Raw genomic sequence first — 26,581 nt, 5'->3', positions numbered from 1 at the left:
CCAGGTGCACAGATAAACAAGGGCTTTACAGTTCCAGATTATGTAATTACAGAGTCCCAAGACATAAAGTGACAACTGATAGAAATGACCTCAGGAGAATTTCTCCTATTATATTTCTATATAATTGAATAAAATGATGGGAAAATTTTGATCCCCACTCATCTTGCCCCAAAGAAAAAAAATCTTTTATTTTCTCTACAAAATAAGGACTACAATATCCCAGGGAAAACATTCTTCTCTTTCCTAGGGTAGTATGGTGAACACTGTTTGAGGTATATTTCAAATGATAGCTCATCTGCCTCCCTTTCACCCCCTCTTCTCTACGAAGGACACACTACTCTCCTAGGCTTCAAACGGGGACTGTCTTTGACTCTTCTCTAATCCTGACCCCCAAACCAATCACTGACAAGGCAACTCTGACTTACCTTCCTGACCCCTTCTCTGTGCACCTGCTGGGTACCATGCATCCCCATTTCACAGACAAGGAAACTAGGAGCTGCTTTGCAGATGAGTGCATAGCAGGGTGGGCGCTGAGCTCAGCTCTTCCCACAGCCATGGAGTAGCTTCTCTGCCTTGTCTTGGCTTCCTCACTTGGAACTTCTCTCCCTGCTCATGTACAGGATCCGAATGTAGGCCCTTAGCACTTCCTTTGCACCATCGAAAAGGCTCTTCACTTGCTCTTTGCTTCTTTGCCCAATTAAACTAAATCCTCTTCTCTGTGGGCACTAAAGAGTGAATGTGTCAAGGTCACCAACGACCTCCTTTTTGCTAAATCTGAAGGCTACAACTCAATCCTTACCTGACCTGACTTGATTGTGGTACTAGACACAACTGATCCCTTTCTGGACACTTCTGTTTGCAGAGTCCACACTCTCCTGGTTTTCCTTCCACTTCTTACTACTCCTTTCTAGTTTCTTTCATGATTTCCTCCTTCCTCAGTACCCCTGGTGTTTCCAAAGGTGGTTTTTCAAAAGGTTCTATCCTTAGCCCTTCTCAGTCAACAAAACCTCCTTGGGAGATCTCATTCTTCCTATAGTTTTAATTAATTCCTATGTTGCCATCTTACCCCAGGCCTCTCTCCTGAGCTCCAGACTTACATCTTAACTTACCATTTACCACCTCACTTAGACACTCCTCAGGCACTGCAAATGAATTCATTATCCACCATGAAGTCCTTATCTTTCTCCAAATCTGCTCTTTAACCCAGATCACTGAACAGCATGTACCATAAGGTAGACAGAAGTCATCCATCACTTCTCCCCCTCCCCTCTCCTTCCACTGGGTCAGCCAAATCTAAGGATTCTACCTCCTAAACACCTCCAGTCTATCCCCTGCTCTATCCCTGTCCAAGCTCAGACATTTGTCATCCTCCCTGGATTAATGGCCTCCCAGATTGGTTCTAAAACACCAACCTTATCCCTTTCAACTTATTCTCTGCAGGCAGCCAAGCGATCGTTGTAAAACAAAAATCCAACCAGATCTCTCAATCAAAACACTTCAATGGCTCATCCTTGTCTTTAGGATAAGATTCAAACTCCTCAGTGTGGCACCCAGAGTCCTATGAGGTCTGCACCTCCTATCTCTATCCACCTTGAACTATTTATGATTTGTTAATTTGCCTCCCAAACCTCTATGATTTGGTACAAACCACCTACTTGGAAATGTGCCTCTCCCCTGCCACCTTCTTCGCCTGGTTACCTCTGATCTTCTTTGAAGATGCAGTTCAGGTATCCTAACTTTTGGGAAACCTTCCCTTAAAGTCTCTCCACACCACCCCAACAGTGCTGGGTAACAGCCTGCTTTATTGTCTTGCCTTCTTGCCTTCCTTGCTAACATGAATGACTTGAGGGCAGGGACAGTTTTTCCTGTCTTTCCTAGGTGACCAGCTCTGTGCCTACCATCTGCTGGAAGAAGCATATGTGTATAGAAGCTCAATAAATACACATCTGCTTCACCAAAAACCTGCACCTTCCTGTGCACAAATCAAAGTTCTGTTAAATCAGCCACTCTGATTCTGTGGCTCCCCTGCTCAAAATCCTTCAGCGTCTCAGAGATAAAGAACTTCCTGGCATTCAAGGGCAGGTAAGGATGGCCTGCAGCAGCCTGCCTTTCATCTCTCACTGTTTCCCATGAATGTACTGCATCAGCACAACTGCTCCGCCTTCCATCTCTGGAACAGCCTTGACACCGGCTCCTTCTGTCTGAGACACAACACTGCACCCTCTCCAAGTGTTCATTCCTTCAAATTTCCCCTCTTCTCAACCACATGGAGCTGGAAATGTGTCTCCTTCCTCTGAGCTTCATGATGAGTAATGTCCACATAGCCACCTGATGAGCCTGGACTGAGAACTTATGATTATTTGTTCCTTCATTCTTCTCTCTTTTATTCCACTCAACAAACCTTCACCCACCATGTGTGATGCCCTAAGCTAGGCATTAGGGAGGTGAAAATGAATGAGGTATAGTCCATGAACTCGAAAGGAGATGGTCAGTGGGGAAAAGGGTGGGTAAACTAGGAGTTACAGTAATAATTCTGAAGTTCAGGAGGAGCCTGGAGGGGGAAGTGGCAGATTCTCAAGGGAGTGGGGGCAGAAAGGAGATGGATGGAGTCTTGTAGCTGCAGCCAAGATGAGGAGGAGGACGACAGCATTTCCAGGAGGAGGAAACTGCTTGTGCAGATGGAGCAGTGTGGCTGGAGAGGAGCAAGCAGCAGAGGGTGTATGAAGGACGCACTGTGAAAAGTGGAGGGAGACTAACCAGGCTTTAATTTCTACTTGACTGTTTCAAAGTTACTTTATGTAAATACAAGATCCTCTTGTTCCCAAAAGCCCTGCTAAGCTCACTGCTCCCCTAGTCCCTGTAGCACGTTATAGATGATTCTAGCAATTTTCGCCCAGTGGGTAGAGATGGACCACGTCTCCACCCTGTCACCCCAGCACCCAGCTCTCAGAAGCTCTCCTCAGGGAACACCAAGAGGTTGAAGATGAAGTGTGAGGCTTACATCCCAATGAGACTACCAGCTCCTGAAGGCGTGCTGCGCCCAGGGCCTCATGCTTACTGGGTGCTCAGAAAACACATACTCATCCTGAGGTATCCGGCCTGCCAGTGGAGAGAACACTAACTAGGCCTCCATAGCCAGGGCTTGGGCTCAGGATCACCTGCAACTTCATGTCTCTGCTCTTGGCTTCCTGTTCTGTAAAATAGGGTCCATAAACTCTGCCCACCCTTTCAATACAGAAAAATTAATAGCATTTCCTTGACCTGCTGGGTAAATCCAGGAAACCCTGGAAAAACAGTGGGGGTGATGAGAGAGGATAACCAATCAGTACCCCTCAAAAACAGCAGCTTCCTCCAACTCGCATTAGCCCTGCAGCCTGGAAGTATGAGTTCCAGTTTGGATATGAGGAAGTCCAGACCCCAGTATTTTATGTGACTTGCCCAAAAGTCATTCTGCCGGGACCACAGCTGACTGTCGGAACATCTCCTCAGGCACTATCAACAAGCATTTGCAGAGCACTTACTCTGCAACAGGGCCACCTCCAAACTGCCAAGCCCACAGGACTCTCTGCACATGGGCCTCTGGTAACTACCTCTTCCTCCCAAGAAAGCTCACTTTCTCCAGGCACAGACCAAATCTCCCAACTCTTTTCAATCATCTATGAGGCCTCTAACAATGGCCCCAACCCTGGTAGCCCATGAGAACACCTGCAAAGTATGAGGCCTGGGTTCCATTCCATACCACCTGAACAAGAACCAGAGCCTGTCACATTACTGGCAAGGCATGTCCTGACCACCTCCTCATCCCCTGCATGCCCAATCCCCTGGCTTTATTCTTCTCCACAGAACTTAGCACCATCTGATATACTGTATGTTTATTTGCTTACTGTTTACCTCACCCCCAGATAGAAACATATCTTGCAAGCAGAGACACAACTGCACTGAGTTTGGATGAATGATGAATGAATGAATTCATCCTGCTCCTCAGTGCTCCCCTGGCCATTATTCACGTCTATTATTGCTGGACTCCTTTCTTGGTACTCAGTCTTCCTGCCTCACTTTCTCTCTTCAGAATAGTTGGCCCAGGGCCAAAAGTTTTGGCTTATCACTTCAGATGTGGTAAGTTCAAATCTAAACTTACTATCCACTCCCTGTACAAACCTGCTCTTTCTTACGATCTTATTTGCACTTGTTATTTTAACTAATGTTATCCAGTGGCCAAGCTAGATATCTTGGTGTCATTCTGAAGTCTTCTCTTTATCCCACACAGTAAGCTGGTTCCCAAATCCTACTGATTATACTTAAGTAACTCCTGAATCCAGTCTCTGATTGGGCTCCTGAGGCTGGATTCAGGAGTTACTTTGTCTTCAATCTCTTTTCTCCATGACTGTCTTCCTAAGACCTGACCCTTTCCCATTTACCTATTTATAAAGATTCCCTTGGTCTTCCTCTGCCTACAGGATGAATCCAAACTGGCCTGCCCCAGCCTCGCTTCGCGATGCCTTTATGGGTGCTGCTTCTCCCATCTTGTCCTCTGCATGACCCCTACTTCTCTTCAGACACCAGGTCAACCATCATCATCATCATTGCTGGGAAGCATTCCCCAGCTTTTCTCCAGTGTGGTACTACAAACCACAGCATATTCAAATTATTTTCTCCTGCCACCAGACAGCGAAACTCATGTTCATTTCTGTATGCTTACAGTCAGGCTCAGGGCCTGACCTAGAACAAGTCAATAGACTGGACAGTTGTCACTACAATTTGGTGTCCTCAGTGAGACAGTGTCACGTGAAAACAACACATGGGCCAGGGAAAAGGGAGCATGTATTGGGATTTTATTACTCTTTTGGATGCCCAGACCCTGAACCTTCCTTCCCATGTCTGGGAGTACTAAGTCCTCTCAGTAGGGGAGGGAGAAGGCCAGAGACTCCACTGCTCCATACCCAGTTAGTGACAGAGTAGGTGACACAGGCCCAGACAAATGAGTGCTTCCTTCCAAGAGTCTGCTTTTGAGTGAGGTAAGGAAGCGAGGTGTGAAGAAGCTATGCTACCCGTGGTGAGAACAGCAACACCCTATAACCAGATCTCAACAGGGCCAGTGGTGCTCAAAGCTCAGTAGTGACAGCAGTGGCCCCCTAAGCACAGTGCTCCTATGGCATGCCTACGGCAGTGGGGACAATTGCTCAGCTTCCCCAGGTTCTTGCTTCCTTTTCCAAAACTAGTTCTAGAGCTTTGTTGTCCAATCTATAAGCAACCCTATTTCCTTCCAGAAAAAACTCCTTTTCTGCTGAAGAATTGATTTCTGTTGTGTATAACCAAGGACTTTGGCTGGCCCATGGCCTATAACAGCTCCACCCTGCCTTCTCAAGTGAAGATGGCCAGTTGAGACCTTTGGACATAAAGGTGGTTATGCTGCTAAGGGGGTAGGTAGGATGGGCAAGTGGCTCACCTGGGTGGGATGGGTAAAACTCCTAAGTCAACGGTGACCAAGTAAAACGACCAAATGCCCTGGTACAAATGCAGTTTGGGAGATGCTCCCCCTGCCGAACATTTCCTCTGACTGCATCACTGACTCTGCCTCTCAGTCCCAGCTCTGCCATATCCCGGCTGCCCAACTCTAGGCTGTCTTTCAACTTTTTTCTTTTTTTAGACAGAGTCTTGCTGTCGCCCAGGCTGGAGTGCAGTGGCGCGATCTCAGCTCACTGCAGCCTCTGCCTCCTAGGTTCAAGCAATTCTCGTGCCTCAGCCTCCCCTGTAGCTGGGACTACTGGCGCGTGTCACCACACCCGGCTAATTTTTTGTATGTTTGGTACAGACAGGTTTTCACCATGTTGCCTAGGCTGGTCTCAAACTCCTGGGCTCAAGCGATCCACCTGCCTTGGCCTCCCAAAGTGCTAGGATTAGAGGTGTGAGCCACCACACCTGGCTCATTGAACTTTTCTGAGCCTCAGTTTCTTCCTCTGTAATAAAGGAATATAAATAATAGTCATACCTACTTTACAGTGGTATTCTTTTTTTTTTTTTTTTGAGATGGAGTTTCACTCTTGTAGCCCAGGCTGGAGTACAATGGCGCGATCTCGGCTCACCACAACCTCAGCCTCCCGGGTTCAAGTGATTCTCCTGCCTCAGCCTCCTGAGTAGCTGGGATGACAGGCATGCGCCACGACGCCTGGCTAATTTTGTATTTTTAGTAGAGACGAGGTTTCTCCATGTTGGTCAGGCTGCTCTCAACTCCCGACCTCAGGTGATCTGCCTGCCTCAGCCTCCCAAAGTGGTGGGATTACAGGTGTGAGCCACTGCGTCCAGCCCTATGGTACTCTTCTTAAGAGTTAAAAAAAAAAAAATGCTTACAACCAAGTAAAAGCCCCCTGTGAACTTGTGGTGTAGGACTCTCCATAACAGGCCCACACATGCTGCTTTCTACTCTGACTCCTCCAGCCCCTGCAATCTGGCTTCTGCCCTCGCCATTCTCCTGAAACTGCATGTCTGCAGGTCACACACGAGCTCTTGAATGCAAAGCACAAGTTTTTATCCATCTCTGGCTCCATATCCCCCTCCCTCCCTATGTGTGCTTCAGCCCTGACCAGTCTTGATGCTTCCCGTTCTCCCCGCCTTCAGCTTCAGCAACGCTCTCCAGACTCCCTCGTCCCTCTAACCCCTCTTTTCCTGCTTCTGTTTCCTCCTTCTCTGGAGGTGGGTGGTCTCTAGGAATCCACCTCACCCCTCCTCTCCTTTTCTTGCTGTTCTCTTCCACTGTAATCTCAAAGTTTCCATTCCCCTTTACCATCCCTGGTTTCCATCACTTCCACATCTGTGCTACTTGCTAATGCTTGGCTGGCCAGAAACATTTTCATCTCTAGACCTAACCTCTTTGCAGAACACAGAAGCCAGCACTCAGCAGGTACTCAACAGAAATCTGTAGAATAAATGGGCAAAGGGGTGAACAAACAAACCCACCTGACTGCCCACCAGGACCTCACAGGTAGAGCTCTCCACATTCATCCTCCCCAGCCCTACTGCTACTGCCTGAATCTCCAGGCTCAGAAACAACCTTTTCAAGGACTTTCTTGCTTTTCTCTCTCTAGTCCCACACCATCATCACATCTGGTCTCTCTTCTCTCTTCCTACTGTCATCACCTTATTATTCCCTGGCCATTGTTTTCTTTCCTCTCGACCATGGCAATGCTGGTATTCTTCTCTCTGGTGTCTCCTTCCATGTAATCTTACATACATGCTCTAAGAGCTTCTCAAAGCTCAGATGTCATCACGCTGCTCCCTGACTCACAAATCCTCAGACTCCCACTGTCCACAGATGAAAATGGAAACTTCCCACCTAGCATTTAAGGATTCTTATTGACCCAAATACCTCTTTCCCCATTGACCTTTTATACAAGTCAAAATTTAGTACTTGCTTTTTCTGGAACATGCCCTGTACTTTCCCCCTTCTATGCCTGTTTTTATTGCTGGAATGCTTTCCCGCTCACATTTCTTTTCTATTCAAATCCACCTCTCCCTGTCTAGAAGACTACCCACTGCCCTTTCTCATTCCTGGGGATCACTTCTTATCACTTGCTGTGTTCCTTTGTGTCAATGTGTCTCTCTTTTCAGACTAAATCTCTGATTGCTCCTGGGGCACCCATAAAAACTGTGCTTCAGAGCCCTAGTGTCAGTCCTCCTGGATTCAGGTGCTAGCTCTGCCACTTCCTAAATGGAGATCCTTGGGCAGATTACTTAAACTTTCAGTTTCCTTACCTGTAAAGAGAATTTCACCTAAAAATGCTTACCTCCTTGAGTTATTCTAAGGCTTCATTAAAATAAGCTGTACCTAAAGCACTTAGGACAGGTATCTTGTACACATTAAGTGCTCACAAAAATATGTAGTAAGTGTTTCTAGAATGAAAGAATGAACTGTTCTGGTAAGGCAGAAAGCATGTCACCAACAGCATGAAGGGAAGTCTTCTCCTTAGAGGCTCTTACAGACCACATGGGCAAGCAGAGCACACTACTCAGGCAAGGCAGGGTGGCACGCCAAGTGTCTACACAGACACTTGACGGAGCACCTCCTGCCTGAAGCTGGAGTGGCGCTTCACCATCCCAGCCCAGCCCCTTCATCTGTGAGGGCCAGAACAGGAAGTGGCTTGCTGAAGTCATGACACGTTTGAAGGAAACAGGTGACTCCAAACCAGGGAAATGCATTTGCAGTAAGAAAGCTATGGGGAAGAACAGATGGTGTCCAAGGCATGGTTAAGAAACATAGAGGTGAGGCAAGTGCGAGGGGCCTGGCTACCTCCCTGCAGGCTGGCAGTGGTAAGTGTCAGGACAGATGAAGACATCCCTGTTAAAGGACTGTGGGATAAACACTCAACCCTCTTAAAGTATAAATCAGGTTATAAAACCACACTTCACATGAGTTCATGCATTTCAGTTGACCATTTCTTTCCCTCGCAGGCTCAGAGACCCGCCCCAGGGCACCCATCAGAATGCTCACAAGCGCTCAAGTCCTCTGTACAAGTGACTCATAAGCCAGCCTGGGGAGTCAAGGAGAGAAATGTTGCCACAGTCTGAGGAAAATCCCACCATTACACCAGGCAAGCTAGTTAAAGATCTGTTTTTATTTTTTTTCTCCAAAAACTCAATGAACTCTAAGAATAAATACGGGGCACCGTACCTGTATGAGTGTCAGACTGAACACATTCGGATATTTTCTCAGCCTAAAAGTGAATTTTAAAAGCCATTAGTTCTGATTGCTGAAAATCTTGCTGGGGTGTTCCTGGGGCCCCGGGGGGCTCTCCTTACGTACCTTATTGTTGCCATTGCACACTCTGATAATGGACACATAGTGTCTAATTTTTCTGCAAGTAAAAAACAATGCATTATTTCTCTTCTGAGTCTCTAATTTGATGGATATGTCGTTAATTTTTCATTACGAAAATGGCACCTCCCTTTTGCAATACACAAAACGCTCTGAGAACATTTCTTCTCACTGTGACCAAGGCCACCAATAAATAAAGAAGAGATCACAAACATCCTTTGGCGTCTCTGTACAAGTGACTTCAGTAAAAATGACAAAATTCTTCCCAATTAATCATGAGACAATCAAATATACATATTTTTTAAAATGAACTGCATGTTAACCAACTGAGAGCCTTTAGTTCCTTAACATGTTTTTATTTTCACAACCCTTTACATTGATGCTTTTCTTCAAGTTCCAACAAACAATCTGCTCACGGTCACTGGTGGCCACAGCCGCGGGCCACACTGGGAGTTGAGGTTCACACTGAACGTGGTTAGCTAGATGTCTAAAACAAAGCAACGAGGGCTTAGCTCAGAGGCTGCTGACTCTTCTCATTTATTTATTGTTCCTTCAGTTTTTTCACTTTTTCCCCTTGATAATCAAATCCCTATATACTTACCACAAAAAAATTGGAAAGGACATAAAAGGGCAAAGAATCAGAACAGAGAACCCACACAGATCCATCTCCCTGAGGCGATCACCAACTGGCAGCAAAGCCTGGTGACAAAGCACGTGAGCTGTGCAGTCAGTGCTGAGGTCTGCAGCCTGGCTGCGCCTCACGCTGGCAGCTGGACCCCTGGGCTAGAAACCTGACCTCTCTAAGCCTCAGTTTCCTCATCTGTAAAGTGGAGACGATCACAGTCCCAACCTCACAGGGCTGCAGTTAGGATGGAATGAAGTGGCATTTACCACACATTGAGAACTGGCCAGGAAGGGAGGGGCTCAATTAAACAACAGCGGTTACTACAACGGCCACTGCCATACTTTCTCCTGTTCTTTTTTCCTTCTTTTCTTTACATGATTGAGATTAAACACTAGCTATCATTTTACATTTTACTTTTTGCATTTAACATTGTATCATAACCTTTCTCATATTTTATTTTTTTTTTTCCTTTTGAGACAGTGTCTTACTTTGTTGCCCAGGCTGGAGTACAGTGGCATGATCATAGCTCACTGCAGCCTCGACCTCCCAAGATCAAGCGATTCTCCCACATCGGCCCCCTGAAGTAACTGATAGGTGTGTGTCACCACACCTAGCTAATTTTTACATTTTTTGTAGGGATGGGGGTCTCACTATATTGCTCAGGCGGATCCCAAACTCCTGGGCTCAAGGGATTTTCCCACCTTGGCCTCCCAAAGTGCTGGGATTACAGGCATGAGGTAATTTAATTTTCTATGATCATCATTTCTACTTTTTTTGGCCCTCATCTTAGAACCTGTGAATATGATCATCATTTCTAATGGCTGCAATATTTTAGGTGTTCTATAATTCATATTCATAATTTTCATCTTACCATATTATTTCTTTAAGATAGGTTTCTGAGATAAACTGTCTGAAAGTTTTAGGCTCCTGATATATACTGGTTTCCAATCTACAGTCACATCTGTTTTATATAGGAATGTCCATAACTGTTAGTATTTAAAATATTTTTATCTAATTTGATAGGTCTCTGCAGAAATAATACATAGCCTATCAAATTAGATAAAAAATCTTTTCAATATAGGGAGTCTACCAGTCAGTATTATCACACAACTTACTAAAGTGACATTCTGACTTAAACAAATACTTCAGTTTCTTGTGTATCCACGCAGCTTAAACAAGACTGCCCAGAGTATGTTGGCTCTGGGCTGCAAGTAGAGGGTCAGACTGTAGCCATGAGGAAGTCACCAAGAAAACACTATGCTGGAAGGCCATTCTGTGATGACACCTGACCTTGACACTTCTGTCAGCAGTCCTTAACTTAAATATTCAAAGCAAATTCTGCAATAACCCAAAACACTGTATGTTGATTGATGTACTTGTTTTTTCCACTTACCCTCCCTGTCCAATGACAGGTATTATCTTCACATTTTGTTGTATATTATCTCCGTTTTTCTTTTTGGCATAGTAAATTCCTTGCCACTCCTATAAATGGAATGTAAGCATCGTCATACTTTGTGTTGAAAACATAAACCCAAGAACATTTTCCACTTCAGTTCTGATTCACTTACATTGCTAAAGCAATTAAGATAAAAAATGATCCCAACCCCAAACTGATTTCAGGTAATAGGACAATTCTTTCTTAACTTCCAAAGTCCACCTCCTTCTGAGTTGCTGACAAAAGTCAGGTCACCATAGTCTAAGTGGTCATATATTTTCAGTGGCCATCTGCAGACAAGAGGGGTCCTGGACCCCCAAATAAAGGGCACTCCCCCTTACTTCCTCCTCTCATAACTCCCACCTGCTGAAGTGGAAGAGGGGGCTTAGCCTCTGCCCCTGTGTTTGGGAGGGGAAGAATAGCCAGACTGGGGGCCAGAAGGGACCATTATGTGGCCACTACCGGCTTCTGAGGTGAACTAAATGGCTTGAGGCCCTTCTGGGATGTGTGAAGGCTTCACCCCCTGTATATAGGGTGTGGAGGATGAGATAACAGCCAGGACCAAGCTCAAGTAAAACAAACGACGAGACCTCAAAACCCAGGGCTGAAATCACATTAGCTGTGCTCTCCTGATCAGACACAGAACGTGGGGATTCTTTCAGACAGGAAGTGCAGCCTGGGGAAAGAGGGCTACACAGAACAAGACCACAGCAAGAGAACCGGGCTGTGGTGACTCCCTTTATCTTGGGGTGGTAGGGAAAGCCAGGATGGAGCTGGGTTTTGTCACCGTCCTAAAATGTTATGAATTCCTCCAAGAAAATCACCAAGGCCCTTAAACTATGGAAATCCCTAAAACCCACAACAGGACACTGAACCCCTAGGGTATTCCATAACCTTTCTTAGCCTTCCAGAGTCCCTCAGGACCTAGAGTTGACCCAGGCTGGGTGTTAAGCACCATGGCAGCCTTGTTGGCTTAGCTGAGGTTTGCTATCCAGAGCCCTACTCCAGGTCAATTCTGAAATATTCTTGTTTGGTACATGGCAACCTGCATCCAAATACCAATGATAAGAGCTCATCTTCAGACTCCTCTGGGAAAGCAGATCAAAAAGAAACCAGAATACTCCGATAGAATCAAAGGATGATTACTGATGCTTACTGATATAATTCTGAAAACAATGGGCACCAAAAAAGGGCTATATCAAAAAACAGCCAGAAAGCCCAGCTGAGTCCTTAGGTCACACTGGAGTAGAAGGGAGGTATGGGCCTTGGTACAGTTCTGAGGGGGAGCTCAGCCCACAGGACGAGGCTTGTAGTCCAAAGCCACCAAGGACTAAACAGGGTTCCCTAGGCAGAAATAAGTGGGTTGTCCTCCATGTCCACAACTTGCATGTCTACCTTAGAAGGAAGGCTTCAGCAGACAGGTCTAAGGGTTACTTCTAAAGCTCACTATCAAGGGGAATATGGGAAATTAATTGTGACATTTGCAAAACTGTGAATATACTAAGAACCACCAAATAGTATACTTTCTTTATCTTTTGAGACAGGTTCTCGCCATTCACCCAGGCTGGAGTGCAGTGGCACAACCATGGCTTGTTGCAGCCTCAACCTCCCAGGCTCAAGTGATCCTCCTACCTCAGCCTCCCAAGTAGCTGGGACCACAGGCACATACCACCATGCCCAGCTATCAAATAGTATACTTTCAATGGGTGACTTGTATGGCATAGAAATTACATCTCAATAAAACTGTTACATTAAAAAAAGAGAGAGAAAAAAATTACAGGGACCAATTCAATCAGTCAGCATTTAAAAAAATATATTCAGGCCAGGCACAGTGGCTCACGCCTGTGATCCCAGCACTTTGGGAGGCTGAGGCGAGTGGATCACGAGGTCAAGAGATTGAGACCACCCTGGCCAACGTGGTGAAACCCTGTCTCTACTAAAAATACAAAAAATTAGCTGGGTGTAGTGGCATGTGCCTGTAGTCCCAGCTACTCGGGAGGCTGAGGCAGGAGAATCGCTTGAACCTAGGAGGCAGAGGTTGCAGTGAGCAGCCTGGTGACAGAGCGAGACTCCGTCTCAAAAAACAAAAACAAAAACAAAAAATATATATATAAAAAAAATATATATATATATATTCAGGATCTTCTTGTCCTTTCTGAATAGACTTGGGTGACTGAGCGATCCCAAGTCAAGGCTAACAGGCCATTCCAGGCAAAGTTCCACAGTCCATCTAAAGGAGCAGGACAATTTAGGCAATGGCTTGGCTAGGGTAACAGAGTCAATAAGTTTTCCAGTCACCAGAGGAAACAAAAAATATTTACTTACATAAATATCATATAAGATTTAGTTCCAGCTGGGCACAGTGGCTCACGCCTGTAATCCCAGCACTTCTGGAGGCCGAGGCAGGCAGATCACGAGGTCAGGAGTTTGAGAGACCAGCCTGGCCAACATGGTGAAACCTCGTATCTGCTAAAAGTACAAAAATTAGCCAGGCGTGCTGGTAGGCGCCTGTAATCCCAGCTACTCAGGAGGCTGGGGCAGGAGAATTGCTTCAACCCGAGAGGCAGAGGTTGCAGTGAGCCGATATCACCCCACTGCACTCCAGCCTGGGCAACAGAGTGAGACTCTGTCTTGAGGAAAAAAAATATATATATATTTAGTTCCTGAGAATAATAATAGTACAACCTTAGAGTACTACCATGAAGATTAGGTTGGGTAATTCACATAAACTCTTAGCAAAGTCCTGACATAACAGTAAACATTCAGTAAATGAGCTGGTTTGGGTGCAGGTGGTTTGCATAGGCCTCTTTCTCCAGGCCAAGCTCCCCTCAGAACAGGAGTAAGACTATTACCTCCCTTCTGTCTGCTACAAGCTATGCACCAAGCTATTGATGCAGTCCCTCTTGGCACCCGCTGTCTTGAGAATTAAATCATCATCATCCAGCCATCCTATCCCCAGGGTGGGCACAGTGTGTGCACATGATAAACTGTCAAAGAACACTTGGGGCTTTTGTTACTGAATGGGAAAGGTAGGCTGAGGTTCAACTATAGAATCCTGGCAGCCAAGCTGAGGACTATGAGCTCTATGCTGAGGAAGCAACATGACAAAATGATGACTCAGTAAGACTAATCAGGCAGTAGTGTATGGTGGACCGAGTGGAGATGGAGGATTCCGGACAAGGAGACAGAGTTACACACTGTAACTCCAGAGTGTGGGAAGAAGGCCCTGAGCAAGGTCAGGCCCAGGCAATGGACCCTCAAAACAGGGGTTTAACAGCCATCAATGCTTGTGGATTTGATGGAGGGGACCAACGGGGAGGAAGGGATCAAAACCATTTCAGGAATCTAAGTCAAAGCAACTGTGAGGTAGGTCCATGAGCAGAGACAGCAGGATTTGGAAGAGAGATTGGGTTTTTGGGAGATGAGAGAAAACCATTGCTAGACAATTAAGATGATAGTAGGATGCTGAACCAGACCTTGGAAAAGAGGCTGACACTAAAACCAGAGAAGTGTGAGATTTCTACACAGAGCAGAAAAGATACTTCAACAACAAAGGAACATTCTGAGGGACAACAGTAGGGGGCAAAGGCCAGAGTTCTGGTAAATCTGGGAGGAAATGGAAGAAGAGTAGGAAAAGGGGAGACAGTGAGAGGAAAGCAAAGGCACAGGAGCTAATGAAGGTAAAAGTTTTGAAATGCTGAAGATTTCTGCAGCTGCACATCATCATCTTAGGCATCTAAGTAGCCACCATTTACTTGGTACCCATTAAATGACAAAAGAAGAACACACAGTTTCTGAGGGAGGGAAAAAAAAAATCAAGATTTTTAAAAGAGGCCAAGCATGGTGGCTCACGCCTGTAATCCCAGTACTTTGGGAAGCTGAGGGAGTAGGACTGCTTGAGCCTAGGAGTTTGAGACCAGCCTGGGCAACACAGTGAGACCCCATTTCTAAAAAATATGCTTAAAAAATTAGCCAGGTGTGATGGTAGACACGTGTGGTCCCAGCTACTTGGGAGGCTGAAGTGGGAAAATCGCTTGAGCCTGGGAGATCAAGGCTGCAGTGAGCCAAGATCGTGCCACCGCACTCCAGCCTGGGTGACAGATCAAGTCCATGTCTCAAGAAAAAAAAAAAAGATCTCTAAAAGAGAATTGACAATATAAAGTTTAGGTATCTGAGAAGATGGGAGACTATGGGTTCTAAAGCCCTGATAGACAAGTCTTGGGGAAGAAGAAAAAAGAGAAGAGTCAGGTGGATATACATATAGGATGCAAAGAAGCCTAAGTGCGGGGGCTGGAAATCAACATACCTGTTATTTTTACCCAAAAGAGGAGCCACTGACAACAATGGGCAGCAGGGTTTGTGGAGATGGAAAATGTTTATAATATTCCCTGCTTGAACATCAGCAAAATTTCTCTTCTGCCCCAAGGTCAAACTTCAATATCCAACACCTAGCATCTGACACTCCAAGGTCCCAACTCCTAGCCATCTGGCCATTTCCTAAGTCTCCATTCTGCAATGCTGGTCTCCAGCAGATGCCTGAATTCCCCTTCCTGATCACAGTGCCACTGTTCCATAAGGCCTGCTGACCCCTCAACAAGCCCTGTTCCCCGGAGATGGAATTATGGATTCTTTCACCTCAAAACACAGGCCAGCTCAGCGGCCTGCCCTGCTGCCATGTTGCCCATAGACCAGCAGGTTCCTGACAAAGGACAAAGGTTGCTTTTCCATGCTCCCCAAAAACTGTGAAAAACGAAACAAATACCCAGGCTCTTTTTAGAAATAAAGCAGTACAGGCCAGCTGCAGTGGCTCACACCTGTAATCCCAAAACTTTGGGTGGCCGATTATCGGACTGCTTGAGCCCAGGAGTTCGAGACCAACCTGGACAACATACAGAGAACCCGTCTCTACAAATAATTAAAAAATTAGGCATGACGGCATGTGCCCGTGGTCCCAGCAACTCAGGAGGCTGAGGTGGGAGGACTGCCTGAGCCCAGGAGGTCAAGGCTGTTGCACCTCTGCATTCCGGCTTGGGTGACAGAATGAGACCCTGTCTCAAGAAAAAAAAAAAAAAAAGGAAAGCAGTATAGGGGTCAATAATTTGATGATGTTTCCTATTCCTTGCTCACAATAAGTATAATTTTAGAGAGCAGGTCTCTTGCTATTCAAGTTTGAGGGCTTTTGTTACCTGGTGCCCAAGAGCACAACCCCAGCAAAGGTGAGACACAGTTCACACAGAACTGGATGGAGCCCAGCACTTATAGCACATCCCTTCCTTACCTCTACTTGCCTCCTCAGTGAGAGGGACATGGAATGCCTCAGTGGAAGTTCTGCCACATCAAGGTGTACAAGGCCCATCCTGGTTCATACCCAGTTGAACCTCACAACAAAACCACTGGCTCATCCAGTAGCAGCAAGGAACCTAAATGCCAGGATTGAGGTGGTCATGGTAACACCCCCACCATGGCTGCTGTGGTCTCGGATGACTGCTGCTCTGTGGCCTCCTTCTGAGTATGCTCTTCTCAACCATGGAAAGGAATACTTGCCCTCACCTACATGGTGCACCTGAGCACCTGAGGGTCTCTTCATCCATCTCAGCCTTCATACCTCTCTTTCTAGAGGACCTTCCACTCCCTCTAGTAAAAAAACGAAACAAAACAAAAAAAAACAACAACAAAAAAAATCCTTGACAGAAAAGTTGAAGGCAAAATAGAGCAGTGCCTACTTTTGTCATTCCCCTGGCAGGGCTTCACTGGGCCCCTGCAGCTGGCCTATTATTTCCTTGTTCTCACTTCAAGGCAATGTTGTGTGCTCAGAGGCATAGGAAAGGCAAGAAAAACAGGCCCATTCATGGTGTCTTCATGGGGTCCAAGATGAGCGGAGTATAAGCTTTGCACAGCACCCTGCCCCTGTGGTAAGCTGCTGTTTTGTGCTACAAGATAGGAACTAGCCAAATGCCATAGGGGAGACAGTATCACTTCCATCAGTGCCTCCACAGAGCAGGCTGCACAAGTCACCAATTTTTCAAATGTTTGAAATAATCAGATTAATAGTCTCTACCCAACTTCCAAAAGCAAAAAAAAAAAAAAAAAAAAGTCCAGCAGAAAGGACCATGAATGATTGTGAAAAGCAGTAGCCTTTTCCTTCTCATCATATTTTAAAATCTGTCACAGTGAGGCACTATCAGAGGCTGTGGTTCACAGAAATAACCTTTCAGACTGAGCCTGCCTTTCTTCTGCCTGTTCCTTCAGCACCATGATTATGTGACTTCTTACATTATTGAATAATAGTTACTTTTATTTGTCTGTTTCCAACCCCTGAATATGAGCTCTCTAAGGCAGGAATTTTTGTTTTGCTCTTCTTTCCATACCAGAATCTAGCACAGTGTCTGGCTAACAGAAGGCATTTTTAAAATGCTCAATGAATTAACGAGGCTTGGAGAAATCTTGGGCTCAGATGTTTTCTGAGAATGTGTTGCCTTACTGGCAATTCTTTACCCAGAACCATTTGCCAACATCTACAACTAAGAAGACCAATTATTAGAAATATCAAGTTATTAACTTACTACAAAGATAAAAACAATGATTGTTAAGTGTCAATTCAAGTTACTTTGCTTATTGGCTAATCATATTATATATTTTCTTGGCCCCAGTTTCCTCACCTGCAAAATGGATATAACAGGGATAACATTCCCTATACTTCCCTGGGCTGCTGGGAGGAGTAAGATTAAGATTACCTGGTAGTACTCAATGAACACTAAGTCTTCCTTCTCTCTGTGTTGTGAAAGTTAAAAAAGGCACTGACCTCTTACTTACCTTGCCTATCCTGATGCATGAATTTATAGTATCGAGCAAGTCAGCCTTTTTTTCATTTATAGGCACTTCTCCTAACTCCTTCCCTATTAATTCACCTGACTGATAGCCCATTGTTGTTTCAAATGCAGGATTTGCATACTGAAGGGAGACAAAAGAAAAAACATAAAGTGAATTAAAAGTCATTTTGAAAAAGAGGACAATCAAAGGTCTTCGACCTAAGCCCTTCAGGTTTTTCCCCAGAAAAAGCTCAGGAGCCTGGACCTCACCGTGGCAGTTGTGAAGCCATAAGCACATAACCCACGAAGAATTCTGGAGCCCAGACGAGCTTCTGCTTGGGTGATACCCGGCTGGGCTTTCTGCTATGTTCTCCTGAGGCTCCAGGAGGGCAGCAGGCCCACTCCCACTTCAACAGGGGCAGAGGAAGGGATGTGCACAGCGCCAAACCAGGAGCTGCTACAACAGGGCTGTTTAGATGGGGGTGGGGGTGGGGGGATGATGGAATAAAGCACCAGGTAGAGTGCAAAACACTCAGGCTGTCCTCCCCCTCCACACATTGACCTCAGCAAGTCACTTAATCCCTCTGAGACTCTTATCCGGATATGGGAATGAAACAGTTCTCTTGTCTCTTTCATATGGTTCGAATAAATGATGTGTATGGAAAGCAGGCTATGAACTAAGAAGTAATTACAAATGTAAGGCTTTATGGTTAAGTTTCAGATATGACTGTAAGATAAGCAGAAAATACATGGGAAAACTGTGCACGTGCTAATGATGATGATGATAAAACAATAATTGATACTATCTGTCAGGGTCCATTTTCCTCACTGGGCACTATAGTAAACACTTCACATACATTAATTCATTTAGTCCTCATGACATCCTTACAAAAGGCAGGCTGTTGTTCTTACTAATATTATTTCCATTTCCACAGATGAGAAAGCAGATTCAGCTGGATTAAACAACTTGCCCAAAGTTGTTCAGCTGAAGCAGGATGGAGCCCAGGCCCGTCTGACACCAAAGCCTGTGCCCTCAAACACTGGCCCACGCTGCCTCTCAGGGCACCAACTCAAAGTCAACACCATCACCTCTTCAACAAGGAAGTCACAAGTCATATTAAAGTGAAAGACTGGAGAGCCCAGAAGTAAGAAAGACTGGAGAGCTCCAAAGTGGAGCTAATTCTCAGACAAAATGAATGTCTTTTTCTGGTGCAACTCCCTTTTTTGCTGTTATCTGAAAACATTAAGCTATGTTGCCTTAAGTCACTCATATAAACCCACTTTGCTAATAATGTGTAATTTATTCAGCACTTACTAGGTATGTTATTTCTGAAACTTTTAGTTGTTTCTAGTATATTTCTGTAAGTGCAAATTATCTTCAAAAACAGTGAGAAAGGTGAAAGACTTGTACTTGCAGACCTATGGTCAGGGCATTCCCCTTCGTACAACAGCACTACCCCCAAGCCCCCAGCAATCATCCTTTTCAGTGAGTCTCTCCTTGTTAAATAAACAAACTAGTGGAAATAATGAATGCAAATGTGGCATTTCTACAGGCATTTTCTAGCACCTTAATTATTAGTATGTTTTCTAATCTATAGAGAGCTTATTTTAAATTACATATTTGATTTTGTTCTGATAATCCTCGAAGGAAAAACTGGTCTCCTAAACTTCAAAAAGAAAAAAAAAAATCATATTGGAGAGGTTCAATCCTAAAAGTTGGAAAAAGCAAAACAAGAAATCCAGAAAGACAGATTTCCAAAATAACAAACCTGTATAAAACGGTCTTCGCTTGTAATTTCAATTGCATCTTCACTGTTTTCTAATGCAGTGAATACTGAGTTACAAGCCCTTTATGAGTAAACAAAAAAAGGAATGATTAATGTAAATACTACAAAATAAAATCTTGGGTTATTACATTATTTAAATGTATTTTTTGTCCGATTTATAAGGAAGGGAGAAAATATTTTAAAACATAAAAAGAAATAAACACCCCCCTGCAAGCCCCTCCACTGGAATCACCACTATGTACACACTGCGGTATCTTTCCTTCCAATATGAAGGAAAGACACATTGGGCCAGTGAGCCAGGGTGGCCACATACCACGGTCAAATCACAGCTCTTCAGCAGCTGTGGGACCCTGGGCAAGTGACTGAACCCCATCAAGCCTTCCCTTTCACCACCTTAGAGTCTTCATGAAGACTAAATAAGAGAATAGAGTCAAGAATACTGCACAGAGCCTGGCAAAGAGAAGGCAATCATTTCTACCTATTATTTTAAACAAATTATTTTCACAAAATTGAGGGCATCTGGAAAGACTAGCTTTGCTTCCTGCTTTCTTCACTTAGCCTTCTTCTGTGAGCATTTTCTCACATCCTTCGTGTTTGAAAACATTTTTAAAATTATACAAGTGACAATGTTTATTGAAAAAAATTAGAAAATAAACATTAACAAAAATAAGTGGAACACTATATCACACCCACTTGAATAATAAAAAAGACAGTCGATAACATGTATTAGTGAGGAACCCTCCTACACTGCTGGTGGGAATGTAAAAAAGTGCAGCCCCTTTTTGGGAAACAGCCCCATTATGTCCACACAAAAACTTATACGCAAATGTTCATAGCAGTATTACTCAGAAAAGCCAAAAAATGGAAAAAACCCAAATGTCCATCAACTGATGAATGGATAAACAAAATGTGGTATATCCATACAATGGAATATTATGCAGACATAAAAGGACACGAAGTCTTGATATATGCCCTAACATGAATGAACCTTGAAAACCGTAAGCCAGTCACAAGGATCACACAGTGTATGAAATGTCCAGAATACGCAAATCTGCAGAGACAGAAAGTAGATTGGGCTGGGGGTAGTGGCTCATGCCCCTAATCCCAACACTTTGGGAGGCTGAGGCGGGTGGATCACCTGAGGTCAGCAGTTCAAGACCAGCCTGGCCAACGTGGTGAAACCCCGTCTCTACTAAAAATACAAAAAAAAGATTAGCAAGGCATGGTGGCAGGCGCCTGTAATCCCAGCTACTTCAGGAACCTGAGGCAGGAGAATCTCTTGAACCCAGGAAGCAGAGGTTGCAGTGAGCCGAGATTGCATCACTGCACTACAGCCTGGGCTGGGGATAATAAAAATGTTCTAAAATTGTGATGACTGAAGCACAACTCTATGAATATACTAAAATCCTTTGACTATACCTTAATAAGGCTGTTTAAAAATAATAAGATCAAATAACCTGAAATCCCAATACCCAGACGTCTCAACATTCTATTTTATAGAAAAAAATCTAATTATTTTCAATAAGCATTGAAAAATGTTCTAGGCATTAACTTGTACAAATGCATATGTAATATGCATACAAAAACAAGATCATACTCTACAGTTTTATAATCTGCTTTTCTCACTGGCACACTATACATTAATCTTTCCATATCAATAATTTTCATTCTTTATCATCACTTTAAATAACTATATAATATTCTAAGATTATATTATGATTTATTCAATAAATCCCCTATCACTAGACATTTAGGTTGCTTCCAGGTTTTTTCCTTGTATAAGTAATCTCCCAAAGAATGATTTTAAGATTCTCTGGCCTCAGAAGATGAAAAAAAAGAAAACTGCCTGCTTATAAAGTGCAGAGATACTACTAAGTAAACTCTAAAAATAACAATGCTGGCCAGGCACGGTGGATCACACCTGTAATGCCAGCACTCTGGGAGGCAGAAGTAGGCAGATCGCTTGAGTCCAGGTGTTCAAGACCAGCTGGGCAACATGGCAAAACCCTGTCTCTACAAAAAATAAAAAATTAGCTGGCCTGGTGGTATACATCTGTAGTCCTAGCTACTTGAGAAGCTGAGGTGGGAGGACTGCTTGAGCCCAAGAGGTCAAGGATGCAGTGAGCAGTGATCACACAACTGCACTCCAGCCCAGGCAACAGAGTGAGACCCTGTCTCTAAATAAGTAAATAAAAAAAACAATGCCTTTACATTATTGCTGGTATTACTAAACTGTCTCACTAAAGACAATAGCTTAGCCAATAAAAATTAGCTCATTTTTAGCATGTAAAAAAAACCAGGAGATAATATGTAAATTTATAGCTCAATAAAGTTGTTATTAAAAAAAAAAAAAAAAGCAAAAAACATGCTGGGCATGGTGGCTCACACCTGTAATCCTAGCACTAGTCAGAGTTTGAGACCGGCCTGACCAAAATGGTGAAACCCCGTATCTACTAAAAAATACAATAACAACAAAAAATTAGCCAGACCTGGTGGCACATACCTCTGTAATACCAGCTACTTGGGAGGCTGAGGCAGGAGAATCGCTTGAACCTGGGAGGTGAAGGTTGCAGTGAGCAGAGATCATGCCACTGCACTCCAGCCTGGGCAACGGAGTGAGACTCTATCTCAAAAAATAAAAAAATAAAAAATAAAAAAAGCAAAAAACAGTAAGAAGTTCTCACCTCCAATATAACAAGCTTGGCGGAGATGGATCTGTGAGAAGCCCTACTGGGTTTTATCATACTTTTTTTTAACTTTCGCAGATACGGTAAATAAAAAAATGTTAAATCATTTGCATGTCTTTATTAGTGAGGTTGAACATCTTTTCACATTTATTGGCCATTAATATCTCTTGTGAACCACTTGAACATGTCTTTTAATATTTTTCTAATTTTTAATTGATCATTTTTCAATTGATTAATCAAAGCTCTTCATGTATTTATGAGGATATTAACCTAATGTCTGTCCTATATGTTACAAACATATTTTTCCCAGTTAGTCATTTGTCTAAATTTTGAACATTATTTAAGGTTTATTTTAACTGTAGATAAGCTTAACATTTTTATGTTGTCTAATCTGATTATCTTCCTTTATAAAATGTGGCTTTTATAAGTGTTAGTTTATAATGACTTCGTCATCCAATTATGTATGTCCACTTTTATTTTTTAGTACTTACGTAGCCCTACTTTTTCACATTTAAGTCTTTAATTCATTGGAGTTCATTTTGCGGGTAGGACATGAGATTGGAACGTAGCTTAACTTTCTTTCCAGCTAGTCAACCAACTATCACAACTCTAGTCACTGAAAAGTCCACTTTTTCCCGTGTTGATTTAAAATGCCATGTAATCATATGCTAAATTCTTTTTTTTTTTTTTTTACTTTTTGAGATGGAGTTTTGCTCTTGTTGCCCAGGCTGGAGTGCAGTGGCTCGATCTCAGCTCACTGCAACCTTCGCCTCCCGGGTTCCAGTGATTATCCTGCCTCAGCCTCCCAAGTAGCTGGGATGACAGGCATGCGCCACCACGCCCAGCTAATTTTTTGTATTTTTTTTAGTAGAGACGGGGTTTCATCATGTTGGCCAGGCTGGTCTCGAACTCCTGACCTCAGGTGATCCACCAACCTCAGCCTCCCAAAGTGCAGAGATTACAGGCGTGAGCCACCCTGCCCAGCCGATCATCTACTAAATTCTTAAATATATCCAAGTCTGTTTTTTTTTTTTTTGAGACAGAGTCTTGCTCTTGTTGCCCAGGCTGGAGTGCAATGGCACGATCTCAGCTCACTGCAACCTCTCCTGTCTCAGCCTCCTGAGTAGCTGGGATTACAGGTGCTCACCACCATGCCCGGCTAATTTTAGTATTTTTAATAGAGACAGGGTTTCGCCATGTTGGCCAGGCTTGTCTCGAACTCCTGACCTTGTGATCCGCCCGCCTCAGTCTCCCAAAGTGGTGGGATTACAGGCATGAGCCACCGTGCCCGGCCTGTTTCTGGTTTTTATATTCTAGTTTACCAATCTAGCAGTAACACCCCTGCTTGTTACAGCTTTTTAGTGCATTTTAGTATCTGAAAGAACAAGACTCTATTTCTCCCAATTCTCTAGCCTCACATTTCCTTTCCCTTTATATTTTTATATCTCCCTGTATAATGGACATCATAATTTGGCTGCCAGCTGGAGCACAGAGAACAAAGCAGGGCATGATGGGAGATGAGGACAGAGAGGTAAGCAGTGTACAGACCATGGAGACCCTTGTAGGCTACATTTTGGAGTTTGGACTTCATCTTGAACGCAGTGGGTGCCTATCTGGGGTGTCATAGAACAGGAACACAAATGGAATTGTGTTACGTCTGTGTGGAGAATGAAGAAGGAGTCAAGACTAGACATAGGGAGACTAACTGGTGGTTTCAATAATCCAGGTAAAAAGAGAGGGACCTAGACTAAGAGTAGCAGTAGAGATGAAGATTAAGTGGACAGATTCCAAAAATTAGTAAGATCAATTGGACTTGGTCAGTGACTGGATTTAGGGACGTATGTAGAAGAGACAGGGGTTTTAGTTTAGGACCACAAGGTAGATGACAGCTAAGGTACACAGGAGGAAAAGGTTTGAGGTTACAGTCAGATTTAGAGATGGAAGAAAGAATGAATGCAGTTTCGAAAATGCAGATTTCAGTTTAAAGCACTATTTTTGCCATTTGCTGCTTACAAGATCTTGGGTGTAAGTCAGTTAACTTCCTTGGGTCTCAGTTTCTGATTCTTGATTGGATAAAATAAGCTCCAACATCACCTACTGCTCCAAAATTCTACTCTCCTCTGAGAGAGGGTAGTAGCCTAATTCACTGTGGGAGTGCTGCAGCCAGGCTGAGATGACCCAGGAGTGGGAAAAAAGCAGGCCCAAGGGCAACCATCTACCTTAAGTTTCCTTGCAAAATCTAGCAGCGTAAAAATCTCTTTTGTATACCACACCAGCCTTCAAACACCTCTGCTCAGCAGCACTTCTCTGCTAACTCACACTCTGCCCGCTAATCATTCATTTCATTTTGTCTATAAAGTACCTATCTTCCCTACACGTGGAACCCTGTACTGGTCCTTATTAATCTTGGTACTCTCATTCCGATCCCCTTTGACTGTCTTGGGCACATACAAATGAAATGATCCAATTCTCTCTTTGATCCCTAGTAAAGGAAATGTTAAAGAATAGTTGAACACCCAAGGAAGAAACCTAAAATGATAGGAAGCTGCTGACTTTATTTTTCTTTTGTCAAGCTGATAAAATTATATTAATTTTTCTGCTTTTCTTACTCTACAAAGAATGAGGCCTCTACTCATGTCACTTAAAAAAAAAAACCAAAAAACCCTGTTTATCAAGAGCAGATAAAATGCTTATTGTAGAGAAGAAAAAAATGTCACCTACCAGAGATAACTAATGTTAATAGATTGGGGGGGTGTATATTAAAACCGTTTTTGTCCCCTTAGAAAACAAAACAGATAATCCAGCATATGCAGTTTGTATTCTGCTTTTTAAACTTACTATTATTTGGGGGCTCCATCTTTAAATGTGAGTCTCTAATCACTAAAATGACCCCTTATTAGACATCCAGGCAGACTCCAGAAAGTCTGTACGAGGGGAGTTGCCACTCCATTCTCTCCAATCCCATTTCTGCAAGAGGCCATTTCAAAAGTATTCCCCACAACCAAAGTTCTCACTTGCCATGCTGCCCTGTATGGCCTGGAGGGCTTTCCAGAAGTGGTAGAATTACCTGAGTTTCAGTTGTGATCGCACCTCTCCAAACTCCAGCTGGAGCAGTTCATTGTAGCAGGCCATGATGTTGGGGTTTTCTACATACCTCTACAAACAGAAAGAGGAATTTTGTGGATAAACAAAAGTGCTTCTTTATTTGTGCCAATAAAAATAACTCTTTAAACAAACTTCTCAACTTGGCAACTGAAATCTAAAAAATACTTTATCATTAATGATGAACAGAAGGTAAGAGAGAAACTTTATGGGCACCAGATTAGCTTTTTAAAAAATAGGGTTTAAGAATGCTTTTCCTTCTATCATTTAGTAGCCTTTCATTTTTTTAAAAAAAAAAAAGGCTTTTCTTTCAGCATCTTCCGTTAAGAGCATTTTGGTTGTTTTCATGTCACTGACAAAGCAAGGCTAGAACATGTGGAGGAGGAAATTCATTAACTAAAGTCCTACTTATATTAGGCTTTCAGAGTATATTCAACAACAGTATTTGGTCCGCTTTAAAGTCATGTAAGTTTACAATAAGCGAAAATATACTTGCATTTCTATTTGCGCCTGTATTTCACAGGGGGAACCCCAACATGGGCAACATTTTCCTGAACTAACCTCCAACAGTGGCTCAGTGAAGCCGACAGAGGATTATCTTCCACAGCAGAGGCACTGGCAGAAGCCATGGATGGATTTGCCCAGTGTCTCTTATAGCCGTGGACATTAAGTATTTTGTATAACCTTTACATAGTGGAAATATCTCACGACAAAGTGAATTACATAGTTCTGAGAAGATGGACCCATTCCACCATCAAATTAAATACTCCATAAAGACATCTTAGCAGCCACTGTGTTCTGTCATATAGTTCTATTCAAATGTAAAAATATTTGTGAACATTACTCCCCCATTTCTAAAGAGCTCCTTGCTTTTTACCTGCACAATAAGTGGACAATACTCTACCTGGCTGAAGAGGAAGCTGATGCCTAAGAGGCAGAGCCTCTGCATATCACTATCTATAAGCCCCAGCCAGACCAATCTGGGACAGGGGTCCCCTTAAAGAGTTCCTTCTACTACCACGGTGAACGCAAATGACCCGTCTGAACTGTGATCAGGGTCTTGTCTGGGTGTCAAGCAACCTAAAAATCTAGCCCTTGGTTCGTGCCTTAAAAGCTGTATGATTGTATATGAGGCACCTAACATTCCTGAGCCTGTTTCCTCAACTGTAAAGCAAGAAAAATAATACTGTTCCTACCCAATGAAGGTCACCGAGAATAAAAAGACATGATGGGAGAAAGCATTTTAAGTACAAACTGCTGCATAAATGTAAAGAACAGCTACTGTCACCCCCACAGGGGAAGGCAAGACCTGTTGACCAGGAGCATG

General features: G+C 43.7%; 1 protein-coding gene across 12 annotated transcripts in view; it reads right to left on the bottom strand.

Moving 5' to 3' along the window:
* Nucleotides 1-26,581, bottom strand: part of PDE8A (phosphodiesterase 8A) — a 158,676-nt gene that overhangs the window by 30,279 nt on the left and 101,816 nt on the right. For 7 of the 12 annotated variants that reach the window (XR_007064457.1, NM_001243137.2, NM_002605.3 and 4 more), the window contains 6 exons: nucleotides 25,220-25,308; nucleotides 19,448-19,526; nucleotides 17,683-17,820; nucleotides 10,828-10,916; nucleotides 8,798-8,849; nucleotides 8,666-8,708 (listed from right to left, as the gene is read on the bottom strand). Coding sequence is in view for 10 of the 12 variants with exons in the window: in NM_001243137.2 (NP_001230066.1) it covers nucleotides 8,666-8,708; nucleotides 8,798-8,849; nucleotides 10,828-10,916; nucleotides 17,683-17,820; nucleotides 19,448-19,526; nucleotides 25,220-25,308 (490 nt within the window). In the remaining 2 variants the exon portion in view is untranslated. Of the gene's footprint in view, nucleotides 1-8,665; nucleotides 8,709-8,797; nucleotides 8,850-10,827; nucleotides 10,917-16,147; nucleotides 16,942-17,682; nucleotides 17,821-17,948; nucleotides 18,040-19,447; nucleotides 19,527-25,219; nucleotides 25,309-26,581 lie in introns of those variants that run through there. The other 5 variants (XM_047432657.1, NM_173454.1, XM_047432659.1 and 2 more) reach the window with 4 other exon arrangements.

This window comes from Homo sapiens, chromosome 15, assembly GCF_000001405.40.
Source record: "Homo sapiens chromosome 15, GRCh38.p14 Primary Assembly".
In the NCBI taxonomy this organism is placed as follows: domain Eukaryota; kingdom Metazoa; phylum Chordata; class Mammalia; order Primates; family Hominidae; genus Homo; species Homo sapiens.
Note: the sequence above shows the minus strand (reverse complement) of the source record. Positions and strands in the feature narration are given on the sequence as shown.